This window comes from Homo sapiens, chromosome 4 (genome assembly GCF_000001405.40).
Source record: "Homo sapiens chromosome 4, GRCh38.p14 Primary Assembly".
Taxonomy (NCBI): Eukaryota; Metazoa; Chordata; class Mammalia; order Primates; family Hominidae; genus Homo; species Homo sapiens.
The window spans coordinates 99,510,819-99,528,583 of record NC_000004.12 but is presented as its reverse complement, the minus strand read 5'-3'; the positions used below and the strand labels follow the sequence as shown (position 1 = coordinate 99,528,583).

The window sequence follows — 17,765 nt, the reverse complement described above, 5'->3', positions numbered from 1 at the left end:
CAGTCTTGGATATGTCACAAAAATAAAGTCCAGCAATTGAGTCATGAGTCAAAGAAGAAATAATAATGAGAATTAGAAAATACACTGAACTCAGTGAAAATGGTATATACAAAAATTGTGAGAGTGGCTAAAGCAATCTTCAGTGGGGAATTTATAGCTTTAAAATACATATATTAGAAAGATAAAATGAGTTAGAAAAACAGCAATAAGATAAAGTATGTAATAGAAAGAGAAAACTAATAACAGCAGAAATTAATAAAATAGAAAATATACAACATAGAGAATCAAAAAATCATGAACATCAATTCCTTGATACACTAATAAAATCAATAAACTTATTGAATAAACTTTTGTTGAAAATTATAAACTTCTTTTAATTGAGAAAAACAAAGACACAAGTTAACACAACTAATATGTAAAAGGGTACTTCTTACAGAACCAGCAGATATTTTTAAAAGAATATAAGGATATCATGCATAACTTTGTCAATAAATCTGAATTTAGACTGAATAAACAACTTTTAGAAAAGAATAGATTACCAAAAACTGATTCAAGGAGAAATAGAAAATCTGAACAGTTTTGTAACAAAATAGATTTTAAAGCAAAGAATAGTGTCAGGGATGAAGAGAGTAACTTCATAATGATAAAAAGGTCATTTTATCAAGAAGACATAGCAAACCTAAACAGTTTTATGCCTAATAAGAGAGCTTCAAAATACATGATTAAAAACTGGTAGAAATGGAAAGAGAAATTTAAAAATCCACAATTATAATTAGCGATTTCAACACCTCTCCCTCAATAATTGGCAGAAAAAGTAGCCAATCAGTAAGGCTATAGAACGAGGGTCCCCAAATCCCTGGACCACAACCTGCTGCACAGCAGAATGTGAGCAGTGGGAGGGCAAGTGAGCATTACCGCCTGAGTTCTGCCTCCTGTCAGATCAGCAGTGGCATTAGATTCTCATAGGAGTGCAAACCCTATTGTGAACTGCACATGCAAGGGATGTAGGTTGTGTGCTCCTTATGAGAATGGAACACCTGATGATCTGAGGTGGAACAATTTCATCCTGAAACCATTCCCCCCACCCCACCATAGGTCTGTAGAAAAATAGTCTTCCAAAAAAGTTTGGGAGCTGCTGCTGTAGAAGACTTGAACAACAGTATCACCTAACTTGACCTAATTGATATTTATATTGCGTTCTACCAAACAACAGCAGAGTGAATATTTGTTTCATGGGTACATGAAAAATTTATTAAAGTCAACAATATTCTAGGCCATATAACAAGTCTCAATACATTTAAAACATTACAAAGTATACAAAGTGTGTTCTCTGACTACAATGGGATTAAATTGGAATTAATAACATAAAGATATCTGGAAAATCCCCCAAATATTTAGAAAGTAAATAATATGATTTTAAGTAACCCATGGGTGAAAGAAGAAATTAAAAAGGATATTAGGAAGTATTCTGAACATAACGAAAATGAAAATTCAACACAGTAAAATTGGGGGATGCAGGCAAAGTAATGCTTATAGGAAAAATGTAATAATAAATGCTTATATTAGAAAAAAACAGTCTCAAATCAATGACCTAAGATTTTACCTTCTATAAAGATAGGAGCCAAAGTCAATGAAATGGAAACACAAAAGCAAAACAATAGAGATACTCAATGAAATGGAATACTGATTCTTTAAAATGATCAATAAAACTCACAAACCTCTAGCTACAAGACACGAATTGCCAAAATCAGGAATGAGAGAACAAACATTAAACATTATAAAATAATAAAAGGAATATTTTAAAAAACTTTACATCAGTAAGTCAACAACTTAGATGAAATGGACATATTCTTTGCAAAATACAAACTACCAATGCTGGCTAAAGAAGAAATAGACAACCCAAATAGCCTATAGCTATAAAAAAAAAAAAAAGAAAAGAAAAGAAATTGAATTTGTAGTTAAAAACCTTGACTCAAAGGAAATATCAAGCCTAATATTTTACTGAAGATTTCTACTAAACTTTTAAGGAAGAATTAATATCCATTCTACACAAAATCTTCCAGAATATTAAACAGGAATTCCCAACTTATTCTATAAAGCCAGCATTATGCTGATATTAAAACCACAAAAAGACTTTATAAGAAAACTACAAACAAATATTCCTCATAGACACAAGAATGCTAAAAATTTTTAATGAAATTTTAGTGTATGACAAGGATAATACATCATGACCAAGTGAGGTTTTTACTGGATATGCAAGGTTGGTTCCAATTTGAAACTTAGTCAATGTAATTCACTATATTAACAGACTAAAAAAAGAAACATCATTCGATCATCTCAGCTAGATACTGAAACAGCATTTGGCAAAATACATCTCTCCCCATTTCTGTTAAAACTCTTAGCACACTAGGAATGGAAGGGAACTTTCTCAGCCATATAAAGGTCATCCACTAATATGAACATAATATTTAATGGTGAAAGTCTGAACGCTTTCCTCCTACGATCAGGTACAAGGCAAGGATGTCTGCCCTCATCATTTCTATTCAACATTGTACTAGAGGTTCTAGCCATTGCAATAAAGCACAATACAGAGATAAACAGCATGCAGATGCGAAACTATGATGGAAAAAATTACAAATTTTTTAAAGACACATCAAAATAAGAGCAAGCCTCAGACTGGAAGAAAATATTTGCAAAAACATGCATAACAAAAGATTTAATCTAGAATATATGAAGAACTTTTACAACATTATAATAAAAAAGTCAACAACCAATTTTTTTTTTTTTTGAAACGGAATCTTGCTCTGTCACCAGGCGGCAGTGCAGTGGCACCATCTCGGCTCACTGCAACCTCCTCCACCTCCCGGATTCAAGCAATTCCCCTGCCTCAGCCTCCCAGTAGCTGGGACTACAGGCGCGTACCACCAAGCCCGACTAATTTTTTTTGTATTTTAGTAGAGACGGGGTTTCACCATGTTGGCCAGGATGGTCTCGATCTCCTGACCTCATGATCTGCCTGCCTTGGCCTCCCAAAGTTCTGGGATTACAGGTGTGAGCCACTGCGCCTGGCCAACAACCCAATGTAAGAAGTGGACGAAAGATCTAACAATATATTTCCCATAAAAAGATATATACATGGCAAGTAAGAATTGGAAAAGATGTCAACATCATGAGGAAAATGCAAATTAAAACCACAATAAGATACTACTACATACCCAGTAGGCTGGCTAAAAATAAAAAGACTGACCATTCTAAGCTTGGGGAAGACGTGGAGGAAAAAAAACTCATACACTGCTGGTGGGAATGTAAAATGGGACAATCATTTTGGAAAACAATTTGGCTATTTCTTAGAAACTTAAACATACAACTACTATAAGACACAGTTATTTCACTCATAGGAATTATCCAGGAGAAAAGAAAGTATATATCCAAAGACTTGTAGACAAATGTTCCTATTAGCTTTGCCAGAAATTGGGAAGGACCTAAATGTCCCTCAACAGGTAAATAGATCAACACATTGTAGGATAACCATACAATTGAATACTACTCAGCAATAAAAAGGAATGAACTATTGATGCACATAAAAACATGGATGAATCTTAAAATAATCATGCTGAGTTAAAGAAACCAGATTTTAGAAAGAGAACTCACCATATGACTTTATTTTTATAAAATCCAAAAAAGTCCATGCTAATGTTTAGTGACAGAAAGCAGACAAACAGTTGCCTGTGGGAGGGCCAGAATCGTGAGAAAACTTTTGGGAGTGATGAGGACGTGCATTCTCTTGACTGCAGTGGTAGTTTCCCAGGTGTGTATTTGTCAAAGCTCATTAAATTGTGCATTTTGAATATGTGTATCTTATATTATGTTAATTAGACTTTACTAAAGCTGTAAAAATATTGTGAAACATGGTGACTTTTCGGAAAGGTATGTAAAGAAAAGGAGAGGAACTTATAGAAGTCAAACTAAATAGATAGCAGTAAATAGCTGTTCCTTACCTTTTTAATTACTAAGGGATTCTCACTGGAAGTTTTGAAGCACTCTTTAATTTTTCTACTGGGCTCTGAAATAAAATTGAGGAAAAATGTATTTAGATTAAACTGAAAAAGAATTTATATCACATGATATATGTGTCAATTGCTGAAATAGATAGAGTGTTTCTGACTTTAAGGTCAATTCAGGAATCTGTTTATAAATATTAGGAAATTTGCAGGTAAATGGCATTATAATAACATAAAGTATTTGCATTTAAAAACTAGTTCTATGCCCAAGATGATGATATAAAAACACACGGCAAATGCTTTCTTGATCTGGTTAAACTGATTTAAAAAGTATATATTTTAGGGAGGCCAAGGCGGGCGGATCACGAGGTCAGGAGATCGAGACCATCCTGGCTAACACGGTGAAGTCCCATCTCCACTAAAAAATACAAAAAAATTAGCCGGGCGTGGTGGCGGGCGCCTGTAGTCCCAGCTACTTGGGAGGCTGAGGCAGGAGAATGGCGTGAACCCAGGAGGTGGAGTTTGCAGTGAGCGGAGATTGCACCACTGCACTCCAGGCTGGGCGACAGAGCAAGACTCCGTCTCAAAAAAAAAAAAAAAAAAAAAGTATATATTTTAGTATAAGACATATTTTTCTCTGTTTTCTGTCCATATAAATGTCACTTTATCTAATTAAAGAGAATTTTTTTGTTATTTGACCTTTAGACAGAAAGATGGTTTGTGCTGAATTACAATTACATTCTTTATTTTCTTTCTTCTTTTATCAGCCTCTCAACCCTACCCATTTCATACTCAGTCATATAACTAGATCCCCCTAAGCTGCCCTAAAACCACTTAAAGTTTTACTTAATTTCCCTTTACATTAATTTATAGATAAAAGAAAAAGATGACTTTTTCCCACATCTGCTATAGAAATCTTATTAGGTGGTGACACCTGATCCCCATCAAAGGCCTCTTTCTTGCAAATGTAGTTTTTAAGTTTCTAGGTTCTACAGTATAAAAAGGGACACAAGAAATAAGGGAAAATAAGTGGGCTTTGACTCTTCATTGCTAGCAGAAGGGAGGGAAGAGAAATTCTTGAAAGGATGAAATGAATTAAGTATGAAGACTTTAGAACAGTATATGTCCATATAGTGAGTACTCTATAATTGACCACTCTTATTGCTATCTTTAGAGATATATTTTACTACATTATGCCATAATAATTTTCATGTGTCCTGATAGTTTTAGTAATAGCATGTAAATTGTATGGGGCAAGAAAAAGAGAACTGGATATAATTTCTACCATGCAGAATTCCTTTCTTATTTTACCTTGCTCTTTGGATTTTTCCACATTTTACTTTTATCAGTGCCTTTTTCCTTCAATTCAGTAAAAATTAATTCAATTGTTTACTAAGGACCAGGCACTGTGCTGGGACCTGGGGAGAAAGGAAGGATGGCAGAAACACAGAAAGCAGTAACACAGGGCCTGACCTTAAGGAGACGACAGTCTCATGAGGACAATGTAAACATGCAATTTCATTCTTACTGTGTTTCCAGGACTCGATTTTCGTCTGACATCATTTCCCCATCAGTGTTGGAACAACATTCATTTCTGGCATCTTTTAGCTAGTTTTGTAGGGATTAAAGACTAGGACCACACCAAATATGTCTTAGGCACTATTAATAGTAATGGTAATAACATTTTTGACATCATTGTGCTACTGATGAGATTAGAAGAGTGAAAAAAAATTATATAACAAAATTTATGTTCCTCACAGTGAGGAAACTTGATGTAAAAACCACTGCAGCTATTTTAGCATCATATAGACTCCCCACAGCCTTGTTTGCAGGAGGCATAAGGAAACATTTCATCAGTTCTAACTCAACTCACCAGAATGAGGCCGTGGAGGCACTTTGGCACCGTTTGGGGCTGGCGACATTCCTCTTACAGGGCTCTCCTGGACTGCAGTGCTGGAGGGGTAACTGCAATTGGCAAATGGTATCCTGTTCTTCTCTAAGTAGTTAGACTGGCCAACTCCCCACAATGTTCCAAATGCATTCTCATCATCATTCACAGTACAGATTGGAATGTTATTCAAGCCTAGGTGAGTAAAGATTAAAAAAAGAGACAGATCAAGCAACCAGATTAGATGTTTGGAAGGTTTTCTTTGAATGATCAACAATTTCCCAACCAAATATCATTAAATGTATGTAAAATGTTGAACTTCAAATTGTATAAACCAAAAAAAAAAATTGTATTATGAACCAGTGCAAGGTAGACATTCTTTGAAAGTCAGTGTGGCCAATTACATGCTTCCTTAAAATCTCCGGCCATTTTGTCAGTCTTCAGGGCCAGACCACATCGTCGATGTTGGTCTGGGATTCAAGTGGAGTAGACCTTCTATCCCAGACAAATCTCACACTTCCCAAAGCTTGATAATGACTGAGAGGGTTTGTGCTAGCTCTCTTCATGAATGCCAGATTTAAATTTTTTAAAGCACTCAGAATGCCTCAATGTAACTAGGTCTTCTAGAAGAGATACAGTGGTTCCTCTTTTGTCCTGGCAGAGGTAAAAAGGTGTAGGAGCTGGAAATAGGAGACAGGATAAGGTAGATTGTGAAAGAAGGAGGAAGGAGAAGTTGGTATAAAAGGAACTCCTTCCTCATGTGAGAGACTTCTGGGTTCACTCTCTCTCCTAAAAATAACTATTCACTTTTGGCTCAAATATAGGATTTGGTTCAAATAATCAGTTATAGACAGGTTCTCTTTTCAATATCAATGCTAAGTCTTGTGGAATTGGACAGCTTAGGAAATGGGGGTGTGCCGGGCATTGCTTTCTGTTAATCAATGAGTTATGACAGGTATTAAGAGATGGCTGCGTTGTCTTCCCAGAAATTGCCAGGCAAGCTTCTGGATAGTGTTTTCTACACTTGCTCATTTTTCCAAATCTCTCTCCAGTACCACTGGTTCACCTAATTCTTAATTGTCTTCTCAAATAACATCAAAATCATCTTTGCTGGCAACTCTGTCTGAAATGTGCCTGATCACTCTCTGTCCCCTTATGTGCTTTTATTTTTTCCACAGCATTTATCACATATCATAATACATCTGTTTGCACACTGCTTCTCTGAGCTGCATTAGAATGTAAGATTAAATTATTTAAGATATAGATCTTAAATACACAATATGCAATGGTCACAAATTAAAATCTACTCTTTTTTTTTTTGAGACATAGTCTCTCCCTGTTGCCCAGGCTGGAGTGCAATGGTGCAATCTCTGCTCACTGCCAGTGCTCCCCCTCCCAGGCTCAAGTGATTATCCTGCCTCAGCCTCCTGAGTAGCTGGGATTACAGATGTGCACCATCATGTCCGTCTAATTTTTTGTATCTTTGGTAGAGACGAGGTTTCACCATGTTGGACAGGCTGGTCTCGAACTCCTGACCTTGTAATCCGCCCACCTCAGCCTCCCGAAGTGCTGGGATTACAGGCGTGAGCCACCGTGCCTGGCCCCATCTACATCTTAAATACACATTTAAGCTAATGCTTATTAGCTAATTTGGAATATTAGAATATCTAACAAATTAACTTTGGAATTACAGTTTAAAATGTTAAAATGATTTTACATTTCTGATTTTAAGTAGAACACTATGAACATATTATTAAGTTGGTAAACAGTAAAGAAATGGCTTAATCTATACTTATAAGTATAATTTATTTAACTTACAGGAGTTATTTACAGCTTAGTAAGAATTTGTTAAGTATGTAAAATATTTTTAAAAATCAAGTATATTTAATGAATAAGTGCCATTTAAAGCTTTTAAAGCTATTAACAAAGTTTGTAAATGGGACCAAATGTTAATCAAAGATTCCCTCCAACCAAGAAATGAGTTTTAAAATTTGCTAGATTTCTAAGGCAGACAAATAATGTTGGAATTGAAATTTTTCTTTCAATTGAACATATATTACCATGAGCATGGCTTTGTGGCAGGCATTAGAGGAGAGTTGAAGACATAAAAATTAGTCCCTTGCCTGCCAATAGTTTTATAGTATATGATAAGAAAATGTGAAGCAGAATGTGAAATAAAATATAGAAGAGGTATACATCAAGTGCTTTAAAGTATATAAAACCAGAAAGAAAATTCTTCAATGTAATACTATTTGTTTTTCATAGGAAAAAAAGTTTCAATTAAAAATTAAATGTGGGTTGGCTGGTTGCGGTGGCTCACGCCTGTAATCCCAGCACTTTGGGAGGCTGAGGCGGGCGGATCACGAGGTCAGGAGATCGAGACCATCCTAGTTAACACGGTGAAACACCATCTCTACTAAAAATACAGAAAAAAAAAATTAGCTGGGCACAGTGGCAGGCGCCTGTAGTTCCAGCTACTCGGGAGACTAAGGCAGGAGAATGGCATGAACCCGCGAGGCGGAGCTTGCAGTGAGCCGAGATAGCACCACTGCAGTCCGGCCTGGGTGAAAGAGCGAGACTCCGTCTCAAAAAAAAAAAAAAAAAATTAAATGTGGGTTTTGGGGTTTTTTCCCACATGTAGGTTGTGAAAAACTGTGCCCTCAGGTTTGGCCAAGACAATGTAATCCAAGGCCATCTATGACTTCTTTACAGTGACATCTGTTTGCTTCCCCTTGGCCTTCATTTTCCTAATCTCCTTTAGGAATATGTCTTTGCTCATCACCTAGCCATTTTCCTTGAATTTGTTTCCCTCTGCTGGTTCTCTCTGTGCTGCTTAGCTGGACTTTCCTCTCTCTACCCCAAGTTCAACCTTCTCTTCTCCTCTCTCTGCCCTGGCCTGTCCCTCATTCCTTCCCACTTTGATGACTGAATCAGTCTTCTAACTGATCTCCCAATGTCTAGTGAGGTCCTGCTCATCTTCCACTTTCTACAATGCAGCTAGAATGATCTTTTGAATGAAATCAATTGCTCAGGGACACAGAACTGTGAGACTACTGATGTAGAATATAAATCCTATTTAAAATCTGTCAGTAACTCTACAATTTTATCTGGATGCAATTTAAACTCCTTTCCTCCCACAATAATTTATCTAGCACCTCACTTGTGGCAACTACTCCTTAGGAAGTTGAGGTAAATCATGAACAAAACAGACACACCTTCATGGAGCTCACAGCTTAGTGGAGGATTTCTGAAACTATTCAAATAATGAAGAAAATAACTATTACCACACCATAAGGTGTGGTAATTGCTGTAGTACATCCACCACCTACCTAGATCATGCCTTCAGCACCTAGGCTCTCAGCTCCCCAGCTCCACATATGTCAGTTACTTATGGCTCATTCTGAGTCCCTCTCTAGGAATTGCTCTTGGCTGAAGGGAGCTCTTGTACACAGTGAGAGCTCTTGTATATAGTGACTGGTTGGTGGGAATTACAAAGGCCTGGCCCCCTTATCTGGAATTGAGACACCTCTGAAGGGATATCCCAGCTCCACGGCTCCTCGTGCGATTGGCTGAGGTCCCTATTGTATCCGCAGTTCCACTTCCCCTTCTACCCAGTTCTTCTTCCTTCATTTACGGCTTTCTTATCAGTGTTGTTCCCAAAAGCACTTCCTAATAAAGCTCCTTCACACAAATCTCCACCTCAGAGTCATCTAAGACAATTACTTTAAAGAAAAATATACAGTACTATGAAAAAATACCATAAGAAAATCTAATTTAGATTGAGGATGTGAAGCCTGAAAAGTCTCTCTGAAATGATATTTAAACCAAAATGAGGAACCACAAATAATGAGGGGAAGTTTATAATTAGAGGGAAGAGTATGTGTGGAAATCCAGACGGAGGTGGGAAAGGGCCTGTGACATGTTCAAGCAACTTAGACAAGTCCACTGTGGCATATGCATAATGGGGGAGGGAGTTGATAGGAGATGAGGCCACATAATAGGGAACATTTTAGCCTATGTCAAAATTAACCACTTTATCCTAAATGCATGGGAAGCCTCCAAAGGATTTTGTGTAGGATAAACAGTCTCTCTCTCTCTCTGTCTCCCTCCCTCTCTCTCTCTCTCTCTCTCTCTCTCTCTCTCTCTCTCTATATATATATATATATATATATATATTTTTTTTTTTTTTTTTTTTTTTTTTTTTTTTTTAAAGAGACAGGGTCTTGCTTGTCACCCAAGCTGGAGTGCAGTGGCACAATCATGGCTCATTGCAGCCTTGAACTCGGGGCTCAGGTGATCCTCCTATCTCAGCTTCTGAGTAGCTAGAACTACAGGTACACCACCAACTCCCCACCTCAAGCGATCCTCCCACCTTGGCTTCCCAAAGTGTTGGGATTGCAAGTGTGAGCTACTGAGCCTGGCCTAAACAGTTAAATTTACATTTTAATATGATCTTTCTGGTTGTTCTATGGAGGATAGACTGGAGAGAGGGCAAGAGTGGAAGTAAAGCTGCTATGAGGGCTACAGATTGCAAAGTAGTCATCAAAGGAGGAGATAACAGTGGCCTAGAATGGAGCTGTGACAGTAGCCATGGAGAGAAGTGGCTTAATTTACAAAATATTTAGAAGGAAAATGACAAGGTCAAGTGAAGTATTGGAAGGGAAAGAGAATGAGGGAGAGGAGTTAAAGAAGAACTTCAGTTTTACAAACTTCAAATTTACAACACCATTTATTTGTTAGGATACACTGGTTGGGGGACCTTGCTTTTGAAGGAAGATCAAGAGTTCAGTTTTGAAGAGCACAGTTCAAGGTGCCCATGAGGCATTCCATGCCTTGCAAGTAGACAGTTGAATATACAGGTCTAAACTTTTGAAGAGGTGTCTGAGTCTGAGATACATATTTGAAAAATATTTGGTCTATAGAGGGTATTTGAAACTTGTGAATGAACATGTTTGCCTAGCATCCCAGTACAGATTAAAAAGAGAAAACAGCCAAGGACTGAGCTGTGAGGGACTCCAGCATTTACTGAAGAACAAAAATTAAGCTAGGAAGGAGAAGGCACAGAGGTAGAGGAAAAACAACTGAAGCATATATTGTTACAGAATCTACATTTTTTAAAGGTGAAGAAAGAAAGAGAAAGAGGGAAAGAGAGACAGGAAGGGAGGGGTGGTTAGCTGTGCCAAATGCAGCTAAGGGGTCAAGATGAGGATTGCAGTGTAGTGGATATCTGTCAATTCTGCCCAGAACCTGTTTCTATCTTTCCTTAACAACAGTACCCAGATTATTTTGCTTCATTATCCTCCCCTTATCTACCACTCTGCAGCCCCTGCAGCCCCTGCAGCAATATGTTCTGGGGAAGATTGAATCCATTCCCCTTGCTGTAGTGATTGGTTATTTGAACCATGGCCTACTAATCTGTGCATGCCACTTCCCTGTCCATGAGGATTCATTCAAGGATAGCATGAGACCTGCCGTGTGCTGGTAAAATGAAAATGTAAAGAGAATTTTGCGAAATCTGCTGGGAAAGAAGTCAGAGTGGCATGCAGATGTGAAACTAAGAACTGATGTAGCTATGTTGCCACTAGGAGAGGAGCAAGCCAGCTCTAGGTTGAGTCTGGAATTGTGGAAGACAGAGAGAAGCGCTTTTAAAAAGCAGGTTGTTTAAGCGAGCCATCAAATCAAACCTAAAGCCCACCTCCCTGATGGACTTTCCAGTTACTTGAGCCAATAGATCCTCTTTGCATTGGATTTGTCTAACTGAAGGATAGTGGCAACCTTAGCAAGCCCAGCCTATGCAGAATGGTGGATGAAAAGGCCACGCTTCGGTAGGCTGAAGAGGGGCCCCGAGGAGAAGAAGTAAAAACCATGAATGTAGACATTTATTTTGATTGTGAAGAAATATAAATTCCCTAGCATGATATCCAGAGCCTGCCTAAATCTGGCCTCTTATCCACTTCTCCACCCCGACTTCCCATTATCCCTTCCCTCCTCCCCACATGCCCCATAACAGGCATATGGAGCTTCTTCTACAAAGTTTCCTAATATTCTTTTGCTGTTCTCTTTGCCTTACTTGTTTGTATACTTAACCCCGTTGTAGATATTATTGTTACTAATGTCATTTTACAGAGTGGCTGGACCAGCCAGATAGTCCAGCTCCTGAGGGCAGGCTCTTCGCTATATTTTCATTGCAAATAAATGTTGAATGAATGAATAAACGTATAGATGGCTGAATGAATAAAGAGATGATCAATATTCATGCCTTTAAATATCATTTCTATGCTGATGACTCCCAATGTGCATCTCTACTCCTAAGTTCCTATTTGAGACTCAGACATGGATTTCTATTCTAGGTTTGGGACTGTGGGCAGCTCATTTCCATTTGGATGCCTGATGTTACTACACATGCAGTATGTATACCACTGAATTGATTTTATTGTCTGACAAGAATGTGAGCTCCATGAGGGTAGGGACATTTTTTTCCTCCCTCAGAAACTTTGGTCTATCTCCCACATCTAGAACAAAGTTTGTTATATGTTTGAAATTGAATAAACATCTGCTGAATGAAATGACTTCACCTTCTCCCTTTCAGCTTTCCTGTTTCATCATTTTTTAGTTATAATAACTAAGGGTGGAGAAAGGTGCAAAGGATATGTGATTTGTTCCTCTTCACCTTCTATACTAATCAGTTACCAGGACCTTTTCATTTCTTCCCTGCAAACTCTCTCTAGCCTCATATTCTGCCATTGCTTGGTCCTGCTGCCAAGATCATAGCAGGGATGTTTGTCCTCGTGTATCTGCACAGGTGCAACAGCCTCCTAATTCTCTTCTCTATCTCCAGGATCTGCCCTTTTTTTCAACAAAGCTTGGTTTATTTGTATCATGACTTTTTTTTATTTTTAATTTTTTTAATAATTAATTTTTATTTTTATTTCAATGTTTTTGGGGACACAGGTGATTTTTGGTTACATGGATAAGTTCTTTTTTTAACTTTTATTTTAAGTTCAGGAGTACAACTGCAGTTTTGCTACATAGATAGGTACACTTGTGTCATGGGGGCTTGTTGTACAGATTATTTCATCATCCAGGTGGTAAGCCTAGTACCCATTAGTTATTTTTCCTGACACTCCCCCTCCTCCCAGTCTCCACCCTCTGAATGGCCCCAGTGTGTGTTGTTCCCCTCTATGTGTCCCTGTGTTCTCATCATTTAGCTCCCACTTACAAAGGAGAACATGTGATATTTGGTTTCCTGTTCCTGCATTAGTTTGCTGAGGATAATGGCTTCCAGCTCCATCCATATCCCTACAAAGGACATGATCTCATTCTTTTTATGGCTGCAGAGTATTCCATGGTGTATATGTACCACATTTTCTTTATCCGGCCTATCATTGATGGGCACTTAGGTTGAGTCCATGTCTTTGCTGCTGTGAATAGCGCTGCAGTGAACATACAGGTGCAGGTGTCTTTATAACAGAATGATTTATTACTGGATAAGTTCTTTAGTGGTGATTTCTGAAATTTTGGTGCACCCATCACCCAAGCAGTGTACGCTGAACCCAGTATGTAGTCCTTTATCCTCACCCGCTTTTTAACCTTCCCACTGAGTCCCTAAGTCCATTATAACATTCTTCTGCCTTTGCATCCTCTAGCTTAACTCCAACTTGTAACTGAGAACATATGATCTTTGGTTTTCCATTCCTGAGTTACTTCACTTAGAATAATGGCCTCCAGCTCCATCCAAGTCGCTGCAAAAGACATTATTTCATTCCTCTTTATGGCTGAGTAGTGTTCCATGGTGTATATATACCACATTGTTTTAATCCACTTGGTTAATGAGCACTTAGGTTGGTTCCATATCTTTGTAATTGTGAACTGTTCTGGTATAAACATGCATGTACATGTGTCTTTTTCATATAATGACTTATTTTCCTTTTAGTAGATACCCAGTAGTGGGATTGCTGGATTGAATGGCAGTTCTACCTTTAATTCTTTAAGGAATCTACATACTGTTTTTCCACAGTGGTTGTACACTAGTTTACACTTCTACCATAAGTGTAAAAGTGTTCCCTTTTCACCATATCCACACCAACATCTATTGTTTTTTTAACTTAATTATGGCCGTTCTTACAGGAGTAAGGTGATATCTCATTGTTGTTTTAATTTGCATTTCCCTGATAATTAGTGATGTTGAGCATTTTTTTCACATTTGTTGGCTGTCTGTAGATCTTCTTTTGAGAATTTTCTATTCCTGTTACTTGCCCACTTTTTGATGGGATTATTTGTTTTTTTCTTGCTGATTTGTTTGAGTTCCTTATAGATTCTGGATATTAGTCCTTTGTCGGATGCGTAGTTTGCAAATATTTTCTCCCACTCTGCAGGTTGTCTGTTTGCTGATTATTTCTTTTGCTGTGGAGAAGCTTTTTAGTTTAATTAGGTCCCATTTATTTATTTATTTTTGTTTTTGTTGCATTTGCTTTTGTGGTCTTAGTCATGAATTATTTGCCTAAGCCAAATGACATTGGTTTTTATTATCACTTTTTCTGTCACCTCAGGAATATGACACATTTCCATCTGCTGGAGCTCACTATGGCAGCGTTTCTCTTGGGGATAAGAATCTCAGGGATGGGTGTGAGGGTCTATTTAGATTACGCCCAATAGCCAGTGTTGATATGCTACTTTGTCGGGGGTGGTATCACACAGTCACCCCATCCTAGGTGAATTGGCTGGTTCACCCCATGAAGTCCAAACAATTCTGCTTGTTTTCCATATATTTCATAACCTTGAGAAATGTACCTCTCAAAACATCAGAACCCTTTTCTCTTTGTACCTCTCAAAACATCTCAGAATGCAAGATGTGTTTAAAAACTGTATACTTTTAAAATTCTTCAATCCAAGCTCCATTGAACTGCCTCTCTCAAAAGGGAAATGCTGTTATTAATATCTAATTTTGAGTAATTCTACTGTATAAAGTTAAAGTAAAAGCTAGGAAAAGAGAGAGGAAGGAAAGAGAAGAAAGGGAGGAAGGAAGGGAGGGAATGAGGGCAGGAGGCAAGGAGGGAGGGAGAAAAGACAAGACAGAAGGGAAGGAAGCAAGAGTAAAACATATGCTTCCTTAGGGATGATATTTAGCATGCAGATGTGTGGATTGTTAAAATACTGAAATATTTTTATATCAATTGGTCAAGCCTGCCCTGAGCTCCCTGAGTGGTCCCCATTTTCCTGGCCACTTTGGCCCCTCTCCAGGCCCCTGTCCTAACAATCAAGCAATTTAAGGGTTACTGTCCAACACAGAGAGGGACTGCAGGCCTCTGCTCTCACTCCAGGCCTCTGCTCTCACTACAGTGCTGGCATCTAGTCCCAATAGTCAATTCCCATACCTCTCCAGTGGTTAAATATTTTGAATAGCAGCGTTGTGTTTACCTGCCAGAATTATCAAATAGCCCAAGTGTAGAGAATAGAGACACATACTAGGACCTTAAGTCACCTTACCTTTGATGTGGCAGACTCTTCTGGGATGAGGGGTGTGCCTGACTAGAAAGCAGCTTACATTTCTAGCCATAATATGGCTGCCTTTGCCCTCGATCTGAAGAGCAGATGTCGGGGGGTTGAGGTTCATGTTTGTGGTGTGTTTATTTTCCCCTCTTCACTGTTGTCACAAAAGTTTTTGGGGTCTAACTTGATTGACCTCACTTCCAGATGTGCTCAGACCCTGAAATCACAAAATGACAAACATTCTGACAAGAGTTTCTTGTCACTTTCTTATATATCAAACATTTCTCCATCTTCTTTGCTTGAACTAAATTGTTTCTCATGTTACAGCAATGTGAGGCTATTTTGTTTTCAGACCAAATTTTTGTAAACGTTGAAAAGTATAGGCATGGGTGGATCTAAAACATTTACCCAGGGGAAAATCAAAGTGTTTGATTTCAAAATATTTATATTATATTTGTAAAAAGTATAAAGTATATTCTGTTTTTAATTTCATTTGAGCTCACTTTGTTGACTTACCAAAAAAAATTACATGATTATCAATTTTGATATAGTAAATTTAAATGATGACTTTTAAATACAATACTCACAAATGCACTTTACATTGAATTAATTTTAAGTTAAGTCCCTTCATATTGTACTTTTAAAACCCAGCATCTTAAAATGTATATCATCTTCGGAGAGAATGGTAAAACCCAAAGAAGGAAAAAAATCCAAAAGAGTGATGTATCTGGAGATGATAAACCAGAGAACCTTTGCCATGTTGTTGTTTGCAATATTGAGTAACAGTTAACATTTTTAGACACCTATGGTGTCATAGACCTGGGAGATTAAAGATAATGTTATGTATCTTGGTGAATTCACAACCATGTGAGAAAGAACATTTCTGGATTAAGAACATAGAAAGTCGTTATTTAAATTTTCTTGAAAATAGTATGCTTTTGAAATCTAAGAAGGATGATTTTCTGGTGCTTGTTGTATTTTTTCTATCTTACATGAAAATCTTATTCATCGTAGCAGAATTGGGAAATACACATTTTATTTATAACCATGGCAGAGACTTTTTGGGTTAGAATAATTTGCAGTGTCAAAAAATGTTCATGTTCTAGAAATTGATCTCAGGATTTTGTTGGGATGGATGCTTTTAGATCGTTGACTACCTTTTTAGAACAAAGCAATCTATGTTTAAGTGTTTCATGCTATATACTTAGACTGTATGGTGTATAAATTCCCAGACTTGTTGCCACAGAATATCTGGTTTTCAGGAACTTCAGTTTGATATATATAAATACTAAAATTATCCTAGGTTGGGTAAAATATATGTAGACATTAAATGCAGAAAATATCTATCTAGCAATAAAAAGTATATTTTCTTATTGCTGTTTATGAATATCACAGTGAGGAGCTAGTTCTAATCTCTTTGTTTAAATCACACTTTAGACTTACTCATTCTTTTGGTGTGGGACCTTTTGTACAATTAAGCCAGTAAATTTGCTTTTTACTTGTATTGAGGGGAAAAGAGTACAGCAGACAATTTGGAGAGTGAAAAAGACATTAAACCAGAAATTTAAAGATAGGATTCATGGTCCCAGATTTGCCATTAACCAGCAAAGTGACCACAGATTAATTGTTTTATTGCCTAGATTTCAGTCTGTTTGTCTATTACCTGATGAAATTGACTTAAATGTTAGCTGATATTATTCAGTTATTCTGTATGTGTCTGTCCCACATCAATTCTCTTAGATTAAAGGGTAGTGATACACTTTAAATTTTGAAAAAAAAAAAGTCAACAAGAAAACAATGTGTATTTCATTTTCTTAAAACAGACTTATTTGGCTTTCACATACTCTTGAAAAAAGAATGAACTTGAGGACTATTAACTAAATCATACCTAAAATTTTAGAACATTATTGTAATGATGAATTTAAAATTATACCTGAGGACAATATTAAAAGCAGGTGATCTTGCTGACAAGAACTCAAGTCTGTTGATACCCTCCCAGCCTCATAATATGTCTAGACTGAGTTTTTGTTGATCTCCTTAAATCTCTGCACTTAAGCTAGAAGTTTTTAGTTGGTAGAGACAGACCAATCTCGAACGCTTCCAAAAGAATACAGCTGTCTTCATCCAGTTTCTCACACTCTTACTCCAAGGAGCCTGTGTGGCTCCCTGGTTGTTAAGATATGTTACATAGCTTAGCAACGTGGTAACATTCCTTAGAAAAATCTAAGTTCTAGAACCTCTCACCCACTATTCTTCTCAGACCTCCAGTTACCCACTTGACAAAACCATGTGGCCACAAATGGCTTTCCTCAATTTTGGACATATAATAGAGTTAAATCCAATGCAAGAGAAAGAAAAAGAAGAAAAATAAAACAGAGAGCAATATA

At 37.3% G+C, this 17,765-nt stretch overlaps 1 protein-coding gene across 2 annotated transcripts in view; it reads right to left on the bottom strand.

Moving 5' to 3' along the window:
- C4orf17 (chromosome 4 open reading frame 17) overlaps nucleotides 1-17,563 on the bottom strand; it is a 31,283-nt gene extending 13,720 nt beyond the window's left edge. For both annotated transcript variants that reach the window (NM_032149.3, XM_011532315.3), the window contains exons 1-4: nucleotides 17,312-17,563; nucleotides 15,376-15,595; nucleotides 5,875-6,084; nucleotides 3,999-4,063 (exon numbers count right to left, since the gene is read on the bottom strand). In NM_032149.3, coding sequence (NP_115525.2) covers nucleotides 3,999-4,063; nucleotides 5,875-6,084; nucleotides 15,376-15,502 — 402 coding nt within the window. In that variant the 5' untranslated portion in view covers nucleotides 15,503-15,595; nucleotides 17,312-17,563. The remainder of the gene's footprint in view (nucleotides 1-3,998; nucleotides 4,064-5,874; nucleotides 6,085-15,375; nucleotides 15,596-17,311) is intronic.
- Between the last annotated feature and the right edge of the window lie 202 nt (nucleotides 17,564-17,765).